The 17,260-nt window shown below is 46.4% G+C and overlaps 1 protein-coding gene across 1 annotated transcript; it reads left to right on the top strand.

Moving 5' to 3' along the window:
* Positions 367-16,215, top strand: SULT2A1 (sulfotransferase family 2A member 1). Its single transcript, NM_003167.4, has 6 exons — positions 367-560; positions 2,897-3,105; positions 4,472-4,598; positions 7,552-7,646; positions 11,848-12,025; positions 15,115-16,215. The coding sequence occupies exons 1-6, from the start codon at positions 425-427 to the stop codon at positions 15,225-15,227; spliced, it is 858 nt and encodes a 285-aa protein (NP_003158.2). The 5' UTR covers positions 367-424; the 3' UTR covers positions 15,228-16,215.

Here is a 17,260-nt window from a genome sequence, read left to right as displayed (position 1 = left end):
TAAAATGCACGATTGCAGGATTATTTAGATTTTGTGTTTATGCTTGATGAAAAGCTTTGTTCTTGTTTTTAAGTTTGCACTCAAACCTTAAGAAATAAATTCACCCATATTATCAAAAAAAATATTTGTCCTCGTGTTTGTTATTCGATCTTGCAGTTCACTCTCAGGAACGCAAGCTCAGATGACCCCTAAAATGGTCTCTAGATAAGTTCATGATTGCTCAACATCTTCAATCTTTTGAGTATGGGTCACATTATACCTCTCTTTATCAGCAAGTAAACTTTACAACAAACATGTGACATGCTGGGACAAGGTTAAAGATCGTTTTATCCTTGCTGTAAAAGCTGATCTGCCTGTAGCTGCCACAGCCTCCAGCGGTGGCTACAGTTGAAACCCTCACACCACGCAGGAAGAGGTCATCATCATGTCGGACGATTTCTTATGGTTTGAAGGCATAGCTTTCCCTACTATGGGTTTCAGATCCGAAACCTTAAGAAAAGTACGTGATGAGTTCGTGATAAGGGATGAAGATGTAATAATATTGACTTACCCCAAATCAGGTAAGGAGGCAGAATCGTGAACTGAGAAAGGCTGTGGTTGTGTTCCTGTCCATTCAGTGCATGATTGGAGTTCTTCCTTTATGTCAGACAGTGTACAATGCTTTAAGGGGAAGAGAGGAATGCCTAATACCATTGACAATCAGAGAAAAGGATTTAGTCAGGAAATTACACAGTAGGATGAGTGTTCAGAGGGGTAATCTAAGGTATTAGGAGAATCCACAGGAGTGAATCCCAAGGCAAATTCAGGTGTTTGTTTGGTGGCAGTGGGAGGGAGGATGGCTGAGGATGACCAATGATGTCCTGAAAGAAGAAATAGCATTTAAATGGAAATGCAAAGAATGAGTATGAAATTACTTGGGGGGAGGGCTATTTTCAGATAGGAGAATCATCAGGGCAATGGCCAGGAACCACAAAAGAGCCAGGCAATCTCAAGGGGCTGAAAGATGAGGATCATATGTCTCTGGGAGTGGGGCTGTGGGTGGAGGGCGGTAAGAGCACTGCGGATGCGGTGAGGATTGAGGCTGAAGACATTGGAAGTGGCATGGCCCTGAGAGGCCAAGAGCAATGGGAACATAATAAGAGGGATTTCAGCAAATAGCCAAAAGATGGAAGCAACCCAGATATCCACTGACAGGTGAGTGAATAAACAAAATGTGGTATATAGCTATAATGGAATGTTATTCATCCTTGAGAAGGAAGAAAATTCTGATGCATGATACAACAGAGATAAACATCAAGGACATTATGCTAAATGAAATAAGCCAGTCACAAAAATACAAATAGTGTGTGATTCCACTTACATAAGGTACCTGGAGTCATCAAGTCCATAGAAACAGAAAGTACACTGGCGGCTGCCAGGGGCTGAAGAGAAGGGTAAATGGGGAGTCGGTGCTGGCTCTGCATAGAGTTTCGGTTTTGCAACACAAAAATCCTCTGGAGATTGGTTGAGCAGCACTGGGAATATACTTAACACTTAACACTACGAAACCGTAGGCTTAAAAGTGGTTGACAGGCTGGGCATGGTGGCTCATACCTGTAATCCCAGCACTTTGGGAGGTCAAGGCAGGTGGATTGCCTGAGGTCAGGAGTTCGACACCAGCCTGGCCAACATGGCAAAACCCCGTCTCTACTAAAAATAAAAAATTAGCCAGGCGCTGTGGCGCACGTCTGTAGTTCCAGCTACTCGGGAGGCTGACCAAGAGAATCACTTGAACCCAGGAGATGGAGGTGGCAGTGAGCCAAGATCATGCCACTGCACTCCAGCCTGGGTGACAGAGCAAGACTCTGTCTCAAAAAAAAAAAAAAAAAAAAAAAAAAGTGGTTGAGAGCTGGCTGCAGTGGCTCACGCCTACAGTCCCAGTGCTTTGGGAGGGCAAGATAGGCAGATTGCTTGAGGTCAAGCGTTCAAGACCAGCCTGGGCAACATAGCAAGGCCTGATCTCTACAATAAAATTTTTTCAAAAAATTAGCCCAGCGCGATGGCACATGCCTGAGGTCTCAGATACTTGCGAGGCTGAAGCAGGAGGCCGAAGTACAAGGATCACTTGAGCCCGAGTTCAAGGCTGCAGTGGGCTATAATTGCACCACTGCACTCTAGCCTGGGCTACAGAGGGAGACCTCATCGCTAAAAAAAAAAAAAAAAAAAGCCAGGCGCAGTGGCTCACGCCTGTAATCCCAGCACTTGGGGAGGCCGAGGCAGGCAGATCATGAGGTCAGGAGATCGAGACCATCCTGGCTAACATGGTGAAACCCCATCTCTACTAAAAATATATTAAAAAAAAAATTAGCCAGACGTGGTGGTGGGCGCCTGTAGTCCCAGCTACTTGGGAGGCTGAGGCAGGAGAATGGCATGAACCCGGGATGCACAGCTTGCAGTGAACTGAGATCGTGCCATTGCACTCCAGCCTGGGTGACAGAGCAAGACTCTGTCTCAAAATAAATAAATAAATAAATAAATAATAAAAAAATTAAGGTTGAGATGGTACTTTTTTTTGTTTTTGTTTTTGTTTTTTTTTTTGAGACTGAGTCTCACTCTGTTGCCCAGGCTGGAGTGCCATGGCACGATCTCGGCTCACCGCAACCTCCGCCTCCCAGGTTCAAGCAATTCTCTGCCTCAGCCTCCCAAGTAGCTGGGATTTTAGGCGCCCGCCACCATACCTGGCTAATTTTTGTATTTTTAGTAGAGACGGGGTTTCACCATCTTGGCCAGGCTATTCTGGAACCCCTGACCTCATGATCACTTGCCTCAGCCTCCCAAAGTGCTGGGATTACAGGCGTGAGCCACCATGTCCGGCTGAGATGGTACATTTTATATATTTTTTTCCTTCTTTTTCCAGGAACAAACTGGTTGGCTGAGATTCTCTGCCTGATGCACTCCAAGGGGGATGCCAAGTGGATCCAATCTGTGCCCATCTGGGAGCGATCACCCTGGGTAGAGAGTGAGATTGGGTATACAGCACTCAGTGAAACGGAGAGTCCACGTTTATTCTCCTCCCACCTCCCCATCCAGTTATTCCCCAAGTCTTTCTTCAGTTCCAAGGCCAAGGTCAGTGCATAATGGTTAAGACGTGTTTGATCAGTGCCTTTCAAACACTGATATGCCTATAAGTCATCTGGAGATCTTGCTGAAATGCATTCTCCTTCAACAGGTCTGTGTTGTTGAGACCTGAGATTCCGTATTAGGTGACACCTATGTGGCTGCTCCCAGAACTGTCCTTGAGTTCAAGGATATAGACCATTCCACAGATTACCCCAGCCAGATTTAAACCAGGGATAGGGTGAAAACACTAACCCAGAATCTTAGAAAACTAGGTTCTAAGTGCAATCAGAATGTATAGCCATATTATATACTAGATAACCGCCTTTGGTTGCCCTAAAAAATAATTAGCCAATCTGAATTCAACAAATGCCTCCTGCCACAGAAAAGACACAGAGGTGTTCCTATGGGAAGCAGCATGTTCATCAATCAATGCCTGTATCCAGGTTGACTGCCCCGGGGCCAGGACTGGGCTCTGTACACACTTCGTCTTACTGTGTGTAAATATGTGTTGATATCAGCAGCCACATGCATCTCCCATGGGGCAGAGGGGTGATCACAAGAGGGACAAGGCATATCCAGGACCTTGCATGGCTCAGACTGCTTCTAGAATTGTACTTTCCTGGAAGGTGTTTATAGGTGTGTGAATTATTATTATTATTATTATTTTGAGACACAGTCTCATTCTGTCACCCAGGCTGGAGTGCATTGGTGCGATCTTGGCTCACTGCAACCTCCACCTCCCCAGGTTCAAGTGATTCTCCTGCTCCAGCCTCCTGAGTAGCTAGGACTAGAGGTGTGCGCCACCATGCCTGGCTAATTTTTGTATTTTTAGTAGACACAGGGTTTCACTATGTTGGCCAGGCTGGTCTCGAACTCCTGACCTCGAGTGATTCAGCCTCCCAAAGTGCTAGGATTACAGGCATGAGCCACCATGCCTGGCCCAAAGGACAAAGTAATGTCTCTGAAATGTGTCCATGATCTTGGGTGTTGTATATGGATAATATTGCTATATATCTATGAATGTAGCTTAATTTATGAATTCATTCTCCTGTTAATGATCTTTAAACCATAGTACACAAATATACATCACTCACCTTTGGAAACCTTCCATGTTCTTCCCATTGTGAGCAGACTGTAATATCCCAGAGGGAAGGAACGATGCTTCCTTCTTCCATTGATATATTCCTAGTGCAGTGACTACTTCATAGGCACATCAAATTTGATTAGTGAGTGCAGTAAGTAATTTGTTAAAAGAATCCATTGATATTATTAGGCATTATCCAGGAATTGGCTTTTTCTCCATTTTTGTGAAGATCAAAAAGAGTGAGGATTGACTGTATTGATTTTTCATTCTCCCGTTTTTCCATTTAAGGTGATTTATCTCATGAGAAATCCCAGAGATGTTTTGGTGTCTGGTTATTTTTTCTGGAAAAACATGAAGTTTATTAAGAAACCAAAGTCATGGGAAGAATATTTTGAATGGTTTTGTCAAGGAACTGGTGAGTGTTTCACAAAATATGGGGGTGCTTGGAGTCTTCTAGCCGACCTCTTTTGACACCCAGCCTCACATCTCTACATCTCACCAACCCATGGGTTGAAAGGCTCCACCACCCCTGGAGGCCAAACCTGCTAAGTTCGCTTACTCTCCCGCATAGCAGCAGAACTCTAGCCGGCCCCTCAGCTTGCCCCATGATAAACCATCCTAGCTATTTTCTAAGTCTCTAGAGCCTCCAATACTAGCACAGGAAACTTATATTCTCCTCTAGTCTCCTAATGCTAGATGTCTGGAAGTTAGCTTTTCACTGGCTTCCGGGACAACACAATCCTGACCTTCCGCCATTTTTTTCTGATGCCTCTTTCCAAAACCCTCTTAATATTCTGTTTCTATCTGTCTCAGAACTGATTGCATGACTCTAGGATCGCTATATATTTAGTTATGCAGAATTCCTGGGCTTTTTCAGTACTTTCCATTTTGCAATTGATCTCAAAACTCTATGAGCCTCTATCTCAGCTGTGATGTGTCTCTCTGCAATACACCAGCTACAGATACCTCCATTAGAGAGAGCCACCAATGCCTCTAATTCAGTACACTCAAATTTGAACACCTTTCTGGCTGGGCGCGGTGGCTCACACATGTAATCCCAACACTATGGGAGGCCGAGGCGGGTGGATCACCTGAGGTCAGGAGTTCGAGACCAACCTGGCCAACATAACGAAACCCCGTCTCTACTAAAAATACAAAAAATTAGCCGGCCATGGTGGCTCACACCTGTAATCCCAACACTTTGGGAGGCCAAGGCAGGTGGATCACCTGGGGTCAGGAGTTCGAGACCAGCCTGGCCAACATAATGAAACTGTCTCTACTAAAAATACAGAAAAATTAGCTGGCCGTGGTGGTGGGTGCCTGTAATCCCAGCTACTCAGGAGGCTGAGGCACGAGAATTGCTTGAACCCAGGAGGTAGAGGTGGCAGTGAGCCAAGATCACGCCACTGCACCCCAGCCTGGGCAACAAAATCAAAACTCCATCTCAAATAAAAACATTTGAACACCTTTCTTAACTGCGTGGGGTTTATCTTACTCCACCCCTCATGCAAAGACTAGCATGAGTCTAATATTTCATAAGCATTCTCTTTTCCCATCCCACTCCCCTAGGCCCCTCACCACTTTCCTATCTCTAATTATTAATTAAGTCCTACCATCTTGATTAATATCTTCATTCTGGTCTCAGCACTTTGGGAGGCCGAGGCAGGCGGATCACCTGAGGTCAGGAGTTCAAGACCAGCCTGGCCAACATGGCAAAGCCCTATCTCTATTAAAAATACAAAAAATTAGCCGAGTGTGGTGGCATGTGCCCGTAGTCTCAGCTACTTGGAAGGCTAAGGCAGGAGAATCGCTTGAATCTAGGAGGCAGAGGTTGCAGCGAGCCGAGATCACTCCATGGCACTACAGCCTGGGTGACAGAGTGAGACTCTGTGTCAATAATAATAATAATAATAATAATAATAATAATAATAATAATGTATTCCATACTTGACAATTGCTAAGAGAGACCATCTTAAATGTTCTCACCGCCCCGACAAAAAATGGTAAGTATATGAGGAAATGAATATGTTAATTAGCTTGATTCTGTCTGATATGGTTAGGCTTTGTGTCCCCACCCAAATCTCATCTCGAATTGTAATCCCCATAATCCCCACGTGTTGTAGGAGGGACCTGGTGGGAAGTGATTGGATCATAGTAGTGGTTTCCCCCATGCTGTTCTCATGACAGTGAGTGAGTTTTCACGAGATCTGATGGTTTTATTTATTTATTACAGCTTCAGGTTTTTTTTTTTTTTTTTTTTTTGAGACAGAGTCTTGCTCTGTCACCTAGTCTGGAGTGCAGTGGCGCGATCTCAGCTCACTGCAAGCTCCGCCTCCCAGGTTCACACCATTCTCCCGCCTCAGCCTCCCGAGTAGCTGGGACTACAGGCGCCCGCCATCACACCCGGCTAATTTTTTTGTGTTTTTAGTAGAGACAGGGTTTCACTGTGTTAGCCAGGATGGTCTCGATCTCCTGACCTCGTGATCCGCCCGCCTCGGCCTCCCAAAGTGCTGGGATTACAGGTGTGAGCCACCGTACCTGGCCTAGGTTTTTTTTTTAATTTTTTTTATTGTTATACTTTAAGTTCTAGGGTACATGTGCACAACGTACAGGTTTGTTACATATGTATACATGTGCTATGTTGGTGTGCTGCACCCATTAACTCGTCATTTACATTAGGTATATCTCCTAATGCTATCCCTCCCCCTCCCCCCGCCCCATGACAGGCCCCGGTGTGTGATGTTCCCCACCCTGTGTCCAAGTGTTCTCATTGTTCAATTCCCACCTATGAGTGAGAATATGTGGTGTTTGGTTTTCTGTCCTTGCGATAGTTTGCTCAGAATGATGGTTTCCCGCTTCATCCATGTCCCTACAAAGGATATGAACTCATCCTTTTTCATGGCTGCATTGTATTCCATGGTGTATACATGCCACATTTGAGATCTGATGGTATTATAAGTGGCTGGCATTTCCCCTGCTGGCACTCACTCCTCCCTCCTGCCGCCTTGTGAGGAAGTTGCCTTGCTTCCCCTTCCTCCATGATTGTGAGTTTCCTGAGGCTCCCCCAGCCACACTGAACTGTGAGTCAATTAGGCCACTTTCCTTTGTGAATTACCCAGTCTTGGGCAGTTCTTCACAGCAGTGTGAAAACTGACTAATACACTGTCATTCCATAGTGTATGCGTACATCAAAACATCTGTTATATACTGTAAATATATACCATTTGTTGGTCCCCTTCGACCAAGTTTCATTCAAGTTTTATTTGTCAATCATACGTTAACAAGCCGGTGGGGGGATGAACATAATAGACTGGATGCCTGCTCTCATAAAATTTGTAACCTATCACTTTTTCTGCCACCCCATGCAGTGCTATATGGGTCATGGTTTGACCACATTCATGGCTGGATGCCCATGAGAGAGGAGAAAAACTTCCTGTTACTGAGTTATGAGGAGCTGAAACAGGTAATCCCATCATTTTTAGAGTCAGTGCACACCCTCTCACCACCATCCTTACTTTCCTTAAATTCCCTCCATCCCGCTGTGTCTTCATTCCACCCTCTCAGTTAAAGTGGAGCCTGGTGAAGAGTCACAAAGAGCAGGATTAACTCCCTGGTCTTCATTGCCCTGTTTCTGGTTGACCCTTGCCCAAGCTTCACGCTCCTTATTTTATCTTAAAACATCTAAGCCAGGCACGTTGGCTGGCGCCTGTAATCCCAGCACTTTGGGAGGCCGAGGTGGGTGGATCACAAGGTCAGGAGTTCAAGGCCAGCCTGGACAAGATGATAAAACCCCATCTCTACTACAAATACAAAAATTAGCCGGGTGCAGTGGCGAGCGCCTGTAATCCCAGCTACTCGGGAGGCTGAGGCAGGAGAATCGCTTGAACCTGGGAGGTGGAGTTTGCAGTGAGCCGATATGCCAAGATCATGCCACTGCACTCTAGCCTGGGCGATAGAGCACGACTCTGTCTCAAAAAAAAAAAAAAAAAAAAATCTAGAGAGGTTTTTTGGCACCGGGTGCAGTGGCTCACACTTGTAATCCCAGCACTTTGGAAGGCCGAGGTGGGAGAATCACTTGAGGCTGGGAGTTTGAGACCAGCAAGACTCCAGTCTACGAAACAGCAAGACTCCAGTCTACAAAGGAAAAAAAAAATTAGCCAGATGTGGGGGGTGCACACCTCTAATTCCAGCTACTCGGGAAGCCGAGGCCAGGGGAATTACTTGAGCCCATGAATTCAAGGCTGCAGTGAGCTATGATCACACCACTGCACTCCAGCCTGGGGCAGCAGAGCAAGACGCCGGCTCTAAAAATAAAAATAAGGAGCATATTCCATGCATTGAGGCAGAGTGTGATGTCTCCTGCTAGCACTGGTGTATGTAAACATTTCTCTGGGTGAGACCTATGGTGCTGCTGATAACCAAGCGTTGAGAGGGCGCTGGAAGAGAGGATGGGACTGGGTAGAAGTGATTTAGTTCCTGAGATGGTTCCGAGTGTCTGACATCTCAGCTTGGCTGGTATGAACAGAAATGAAGGCATGTAATCAATTTATCTCACTATTCTGAGATCCAAGTACTGGAGTGAATAGTGACGGAGAGGAAAAGCTGTCCGATGATACTCAGAACCAGCAAGTATTGAAAGAACAACTTGAGGCCAAGCTCAGTGGCTCACGCCTGTAATCCCAGCACTGGGGAGGTGAAGGCAGGTGGATGGCTTGAGTCCAGGAGTTCGAGACCAGCCTGGCCAACATAGCAAGACCCCATCTCTACTAAAAATACAAAAAATTAGCCGGGCATGGTGGCAGGCACCTGTAGTCCCAGCTACTTGGGAGGCTGAGGTAGGAGAATCACTTGAACCCAGGAGGAAGAGGTTGCAGTGAGCCGAGATCACACCACTGCACTCTAGGCTGGGCAACAGAATGAGACCCTGTCTCAAAAAAAAAAAAAAAGAAAGAAAAAGAAGGCTGGGCACGGTGTCTCACACCTGTAATCCCAGCACTTTGGGAGGCCAAAGTAGGGGGATCACTTGAGGTCAGGAGTTCGATACCAGCCTGGGCAACATGGCGAAATCCCATCTCTACCAAAAATATAAAAAATTAGCCAGGCGTGGTGTTGTGCACCTGTAGTCCCAGCTACTCAGGACCCAGCTACTCAGGAGAATCGCTTGAACCCAGGAGGCGGAGGTTGCAGTGAGCCGAGATCATGCCATTGCACTCCAGCCTGGGCAACAGAGCAAGACTCCATCTCAAAAAAAAAAAAGAACTTGACCTATTAGTGATATCTCACATAAAAGAGAAAATAACACCAACATTGGATTTTGTACCACCTGGGAAACGTCACGTCCCAACACCTTCCTCTGGCTCATCCTCTCCAATCCTCTATGGCCTATGGTCTGGGCATGAATTTCTTTTTTTTTTTTTTTTATGAGGTGGAGTCTTGCTCTGTCGCCCAGGCTGGAGTGCAGTGGCACGATCTCGGCTCACTGCAACCTCCGCCTCTCGGGTTCAAGCGATTCTTCTGCCTCAGCCTCCTGAGTAGCTGGGACTACAGATGCACGCCGCCATGCCCAGCTAATTTTTTTTTGTATTTTTAGTAGAGACAGGGTTTCACCATGTTGCCCAGGCTGGTCTCGAACTCCTGAGCTCAGGCAATCCTCCCGTAGGCCTCCCAAAGTGCTAGGATTACAGGCATGAGCCACCGCGCCCGGCCATCTTTTTTTTTTTTTTTTTTTTTAGACAGAGTCTTGCTCTGTCACCCAGGCTGGAGTGCAGTGGCGCAATCTCAGTTCATTGCAATCTCCACCTCTCCGGTTCAAGTGATTCTCGTGCCTCAGCCTCCCAAGTAGCTAGGATTACAGGCATGCACTACAACACCTGGCTAATTTTTGTATCTTTGGTACAGATGGGGTTTCACCACGTTGACCAAGCTGGAATGAATTTCATTTCTGTTAAGAAGCCCTTTGTAACAAGTTTGGTTGGCTACCTCAGATACACGATCCCATACCTTCCTGGGATCTTCCTTTCGGATCACACAATGAACTTATTTTAGTTATTTCCATAGTTGTACATCTTCTTATTAGATAACCAAGGTTTATGAAATAGAGGAAAAAATTAAAGCATTATAGATCTAAGAGTAAGGCCTATGATTCAAAGCAAAGTCCTTCTGGTTACAATAATCCATTTTGTTGGCCAGGTGCGGTGGTTCACATCCATAATCCCAGCACTTTGGGAGGCTGAGGTGGGCAGATCACCTGAGCTCAGGAGTTGGAACCCAGCTTGGCCAACATGGTGATACTCCCTCTCTACTAAAAATACGTAAATTAGCCGGGAGTGGTGGCGCACGCCTGTAACCCCAGCTACTCGGGAGGTTGAGACAGGAGAATTGCTTGAGCCTGGGAGGCGGAGGTTGCAGTGAGCTGAGATCATGCCACTGCACTCCAGCCTGGGCGACAGAGTGAGATCTTGTCTCTAAATAAATACATAAATAAAATTTTAAAAATAAAAATCTATTAATCTCCCAGGATCATGTACCTAGTCCTAATTATTGAGATGAAATATAAGAAGATATTGTAAAACTCTGTGTGTTATTCAAAAGCTAGTTATGGGAAACAGTACTATCTGACAGTACAGCCAGGATTTGAAATCAAGCCTTCAATCTCCATCAGATTCTCCCTGAACCTCTCCTTGCTAACCCTAATTACTGTCTAGAAGCCTCTCTAAACGTCTCTTAGGAAACCCGAGGCTCTGTGTTTTACTGTTAAGTTGTCCTAAACTCTACCATACGGGAAAATCCACGATGATCCTTGCATCTTTTGTGGTTTTCTGGTTGGTTTTGTTTTGTTTTGTTTTGCTTTGTTTTGTTTTTGAGACAGGGTCTCACTCCAACGCCCAGGCTGGAGTACAGTGGTGCAATCACAGCTCACTGCAGCCTCAACTTCCTGGGTTCAGGTGATCCTCCCACCTCAGCCTCCCAAGTAGCTGGTACCACAGCTGTGCGCCACCATGCCTGGCTAATTTTTGTATTTTTTGTAGAGACAGGGTCTCACTATATCGCCCAGGCTGGTCTAAAACTCCCGGACTCAAGTGATCCGCCTGCCTCAGCCTCCCAAAGTGCTGGAATTACAGGCAGGAGCCACGGCGCCCAACCCATCCTTGCATCTTTTACATACTTCATGCCCTCTCTTCTTTACCTTTTTTCTTTCTTTCTCCTAATTGCATTCAACTCAATCCCTTCTCACATCTGCATGTTGTTCCTCTCTTCTTCCTCCTCCTCCTCATTCTGCGGTTCCCTCCTTCTCATCTTACTTTTTTCTATTGTCTTTTTTTTTTTTTTTTTTTTTTTTTGACAAGGTCTCACTCTGTCACCAGGCTGGAGTGCAGTGGCGTGATCTCAGCTCACTGCACCCTCCACCTCCTGGGTTCAAGCAACTCTCCTCCCCCAACCTCCCGAGTAGCTGGGATTACCGGCGCCCACCACCACACCCTGCCAATTTTTGTATTTTTAGTAGAGATGGGGTTTCACCACGTTGGCCAGGCTAGTCTCGAACTCCTGATCTCAAGTGATCCAACCGCCTCAGCCTCCCAGAGTGCTGGGATTACAGGCGTGAACCACCACGCCCAGCCTTGTCTTTCTCTTTCGTATCCTCTCTCTTGATTTTTCTTTTTTAGGACACAGGAAGAACCATAGAGAAGATCTGTCAATTCCTGGGAAAGACGTTAGAACCCGAAGAACTGAACTTAATTCTCAAGAACAGCTCCTTTCAGAGCATGAAAGAAAACAAGATGTCCAATTATTCCCTCCTGAGTGTTGATTATGTAGTGGACAAAGCACAACTTCTGAGAAAAGGTAAAAGAAAATCCTCTGGTTTCCAAATATACCAGAATACACGGCATGCATGCCTATGGTCACAACTGGGCGCTAACAGTTGAGATGAAAGAGTGCTTTTTTTTTTTTTTTTTTTCCGAGATGAAGTCTTGCTCTATCACCCAGGCTGGAGTGCAGTGGTGCGATCTCAGCTCACTGCAACGTCCGCCTCCAGGATTCAAGTGATTCTTCTGCCTCAGCCTCCCGAGTAGCTGGAAATTACAGGCACACGCCACCACACCCAGCTAATTTTTGTATCTTTAGTAAAGACATGGTTTCACCATCTTAGCTAGGCTGGTCTCGATCTCCTGACCTTGTGATCCGCCCACCTCGGCCTCCCAAAGTGCTGGGATTACAGGCATGAGCCACGGCGCCCGGCCAATTTATCAGCTTTAATTGCTCATCGCCCAGAACACTTCTCCCGTGGCCTCAGCAGGGAGCCTCTTCTTGTGGTACTGATGTGGGCTGTAGGTGGGTGGGGAAAATTGGTTCCGCCCGGGAAGGTTATCTGACTTACGTGAGGTCATTCAGATTCTCTTTCCTCAGAATGTGACATGAGCATTATCCATTCTACAGACAGTGAGCAGGTTAACTAGCAACCCTTGCTAGACCTACAAGCTGTGATTCACCTGAGAAATGAGGACAAGGACGGGGTTGGGGATGGCCACAGTGCAGCTGCCCCACTGGTGAGTTAGCATAGAGATCTGTCCTGGATGGGCCGGGTGCGGTGGCTCATGCCTGTAATCCCAGCACTTTGGGAAGCCGAGGCGGGCGGATCACAAGGTCAGGAGATCAAGACCATCCTGGCTAACATGGTGAAACCCCATCTCCACTAAAAATACAAAAAATTAGCCGGGCATGGTGGCGGGTGCCTGTGGTCCCAGCTACTCGGGAGGCTGAAGCAGGAGAATGGTGTGAACCCAGGAGGCGGAGCTTGCAGTGAGCCAAGATCGTGCCACTGCACTCCAGCCTGGGCGACAGAGCAAGACTCCGTCTCAAAAAAAAAAAAAAAAAAAAAAAAAAAGAGATCTGTCCTGGATGAAGAAATGTGTGAAGGAATGCCTCACCTGGAAAAGGGAGAGAAGAGAGACTTTGCTATCACACGCTGTAAGGTGCCAAGATGAATGGAAATGTCTATTGCATGGGGTGAAAGAATCCATTTTTCCAGGGCCAGGCGTGGTGGCTCATGCTTGTAATCCCAGCACTTTGGGAGGCCAAGGCGGGTGGATCACCTGAGGTCAGGAGTTCAAGACCAGCCTGGCTAACACGGAGAAAGCCCATCTCTACTAAAAATACAAAAAATTAGCCAAGTGTGGTGGTGGGCGCCTGTAATCCCAGCTACTCGGGAGGCTGAGGCAGGAGAATCACTTGAACCTGGGAGGAGGAGGCTGCAGTGAGCCGAGATCCTGCCATTTGCACTCCAGCCTGGGCAACAAGAGTGAAACTCCGGCTCAAAACAAAAATCCATTTTTCCAAAATCCTACAGTTCTAATACATCTGGGACAGTCCTCCGTGGAAGAAAAGAATTAAATCCTTCAAAAGACCCAGAGTCTTGGGCAATCGTAAAAGTAAACGTTGGCCGGGTACGGTGGCTCACGCCTGTAATCCCAGCACTTTGAGAGACCAAGGCAAGTGTATCACTTGAGCTCAGGAGTTCGAGACCAGCCTGGGCAACATGGTGAAACTCTGTTTCTACTAAAAATACAAAAATTAGCCATGTGTGGTGGCGCCCACCTGTAGTCCCAGCTACTTGGGGTGGGGCTGAGACATGAGAATCGCTTGAACCCAGGAGGCAGAGGTTGCAGTGAGCCGAGATTACAACACTGTACTCCTGCCTGGGAGACAGAGCAAGACTCCATCTCAAAAAAAAAAAAAAAGATAAATGCTGAGACTTTGTATAACTTATCTATATTAGGGATACATACCATACACATACACCACAGAAAGAAAATACACAGAACCTGTCCTACATGATATGTGTTATGAGGCGAAATACAGCAAGGATGGGGAGTGACCTCTAAATTGGGTGGTGAGAGAGAACCTCGCTGAGAAACTTGAATTGGAATAAAGACTTGAAAGAGGCAAATAGGCAAGTCATGGGCCAATCTGAGAGAGCAGCGTTCCAAGGAGAAGGAGCGTGGGACGCCAATAGTCTGAGGAGTGGGGATGCCTGCCACGTTTGAGGCAGAATCAGAAGTCCCCGTGTGAGTAGAGTGACGGAGAGGGTAGTTTTAGGGGATGAGCTCAGAGAAGCCACAGGGGCTGGATCACCTGGAGCCCTGTAAGCGCCTCCAGCACTTGTACTTGAGTGAAACCTAGAGTCCTCGGAAAATCTGAGCAGAGAAGTGGCATGATCTGGGATCATGAGGGCTGCCATGCTGAGACTAACTTATGAAAGAGAACTTATGAAAGCAGAGGCCAGGCCGGGTGTGGTGGCTCACGCCTGTAATCCCAGCACTTTGGGAGGCCAAGGCGGGCGGATCACCTGAGGTCAGAAGTTTGAGACCAGCCTGGCCAACATGGCAAAACCCCATCTCTACTAAAAATACAAAAATTAGCCAGGCGTGGTGGTAGGCACCTGTAATCCCAGCTATTCGGGAGGCTGAGGCACGAGAACTGCTTGAACTCGGGAGGCAGAGGTTGCAGTGAGCCAAGATCGCGCTACTGCACTCCAGCCTGAGGGATAGAGCAAGACTCCGTCTCTACAAAAAAAAAAAGAAAAAAAAGCAGAGACCAGTTACAAGTGTACTCTAATAATCCAGGTGAAAAATGATGTTGGCTTGAGTCAACGTGGTAGAAACAGAGGTGGTGAGACGTGACTTGATTCTGGACATATCAGATGATATACTGGCGTTATTGCTGAGGAATTGTACACAGGATGGATGGGAGAAAGGAGAAAATAGGAAATTGTTTCCAGCTAGGTGAATAACTATGTGACCAGGCAGGATAAAGGCCCACCACGAACCATCGGCCATTCTGCTATGTTAGCTACAATGTCCATGTCAGGTGCCTGGTGGAGACAGGTCAAGGAGATGTGTGGTCTGACCTGAGTTTCTGCTTCTTGTTTCCAGGTGTATCTGGGGACTGGAAAAATCACTTCACAGTGGCCCAAGCTGAAGACTTTGATAAATTGTTCCAAGAGAAGATGGCAGATCTTCCTCGAGAGCTGTTCCCATGGGAATAACGTCCAAAACACTCTGGATCTTATATGGAGAATGACATTGATTCTCCTGTCCTTGTACATGTACCTGACTGGGGTCATTGTGTAAGACTTATTATTTTATCCTGAAACCTTAAATATCAAACCTCTGCATCTCTGATCCCTTCCTTGTTAAAAGTTACCAGGGTTGGCCAGGCACGGTGGTTCATGCCTGTAATCCCAGCACTATGGGAGGCCGAGACGGGCGGATCACGAGGTCAGGAGACTGAGACCATCCTGGCTAACACGGTGAAACCCCATCTCTACTAAAAATACAAAAACCAAAAAAAATTAGCCAGGCGCATTGGCTCATGTCTGTAATCCCAGCACTTTGGGAGGTCGGGGGGGTGGGGGAGGATCACGGGGTCAGGAGATCGAGACCATCCTGGCCAACATGATGAAACCCTATCTCTACTAAAAATACAAAAATTAGCCGGGCATGGTGGTGCACGCCTATAGTCCCAGCTACTCGGGAGGCTGAGGTAGGAGAATCGTTTGAACTCAGGAGGCAGAGGTTGCAATGAGCCAAGATCGCGCCACTGCACTCCAGCCTGGGTGACAGAGCGAGACCGTCTCAAAAAGAAAGAAGTGACTAGGGTTCAGAGAACCAGGGTTCAAAGCCCAGGGATGCAAAGGTTGCAGTGAGTTGAGTCATGGGATCCCAGACTTTTTTAAATGTTTGCAATGTTTCCCGTTTACAGAATGCTACAAGAATAATGTACGTACTACCTAAAAGGATGTCTAAATGTTTGTTAATAAAAATAAGAAATAGCTACAGTGACAGATTTTAGAGCAAAAATTAGTAATAAAAATAAGAAATAAAATTACAGGAGCAATTAAGGTTCCATTTCTTTTCATCACATGTATCTCCACAATTTATTATTGCTCTGATCTTAAGGAGTGTAATTTGCAATCTAATTTTATCCTCTTACTCTGTGTTGTTAAACCATATACAATAAACGGTGTTTATGGAGGCTTCTAAAACTTTCATAAGGCCAGGTGCGGTGGCTCACACCTGTAATCCCAGCACTTTGGGAGGCCAAGGAGGGCGGATCACTTGAGGTCAGGAGTTTGAGACCAGCCTGGCCAACATAGTGAAACTCTGTCTCTACTAAAAATACAAAAATTAGCTGGGCATGATGGCACATGTCTGTAATCCCAGCTACTCGGGAGGCTGAGGCATGAGAATTGCTTGAACCTAGGAGATGGAGGTTGCAGTGAGCTGAGATCATACCATTGCACTCCAGCCTGGGCAACAGAGGGAGACTCCATCTCAAAAATAAAAAATAAAAAAACTAAAGTCTTGTTCCGCAAAAGAACCAAAGAACCTATAAAGAGAATGAAAAGATAGGCCAGGTGCGGTGGCTCATGCCTGTAATCCCAGCACTTTCGGAGGCCGAGGCAGGTGGATCACTTGAGCTCAGGAGTTCAAGACAAGTCTGGCCAACATGGTAAAACCCTGTCTCTACTAAAAATAGAAAAATTAGCCAGATGTGTTGGCGGAGGTTGCAGTGAGCCGAGATTGTGCCACTACATTCCAGCCTGGGCAACAAAGTGAGACTCCATCTCAAAACAAAATGAGAAAACAAGAAGACAAACCAGAGATGGAGAGGAAGTACTTGTAAATCTCATATCTGGCAATGGACTTGTTTCTAGAATACATAAAGAACTCCTAAAACCCAGCATTAAACAAATAATCTTTTAAAAGAAAAAAAAGAATAAAAGATTTGAACAAACATTTCACCAAAGAGGACACAGGGATGGCAAATCAGCACATGAAACGATGTTTTGCATCATTTGCCTCTAGAGAAATATAAATTAAAACCACAACAAGAAGGCCGGGTAAGGTGGCTCACGCCTATGATCCCAGCACTTTGAGAGGCCAAGGTAGGTGGATCACTTGAGCTCAGGAGTTTGAGACCAGCCTGGCCAACATGGTGAAACCCTGTCTCTACTAAAAATACAAAAATTAGCCAGGCGTGGTGGCGGGTGCCTGTAGTCCCAGCTACTTGGGAGGC

The sequence above is a fragment of the Homo sapiens genome, chromosome 19 (assembly GCF_000001405.40).
Source record: "Homo sapiens chromosome 19, GRCh38.p14 Primary Assembly".
In the NCBI taxonomy this organism is placed as follows: Eukaryota; Metazoa; Chordata; class Mammalia; order Primates; family Hominidae; genus Homo; species Homo sapiens.
The sequence above is the reverse complement of the archived record's forward strand: the minus strand, read 5'-3'. Positions and strand labels throughout refer to the sequence as shown.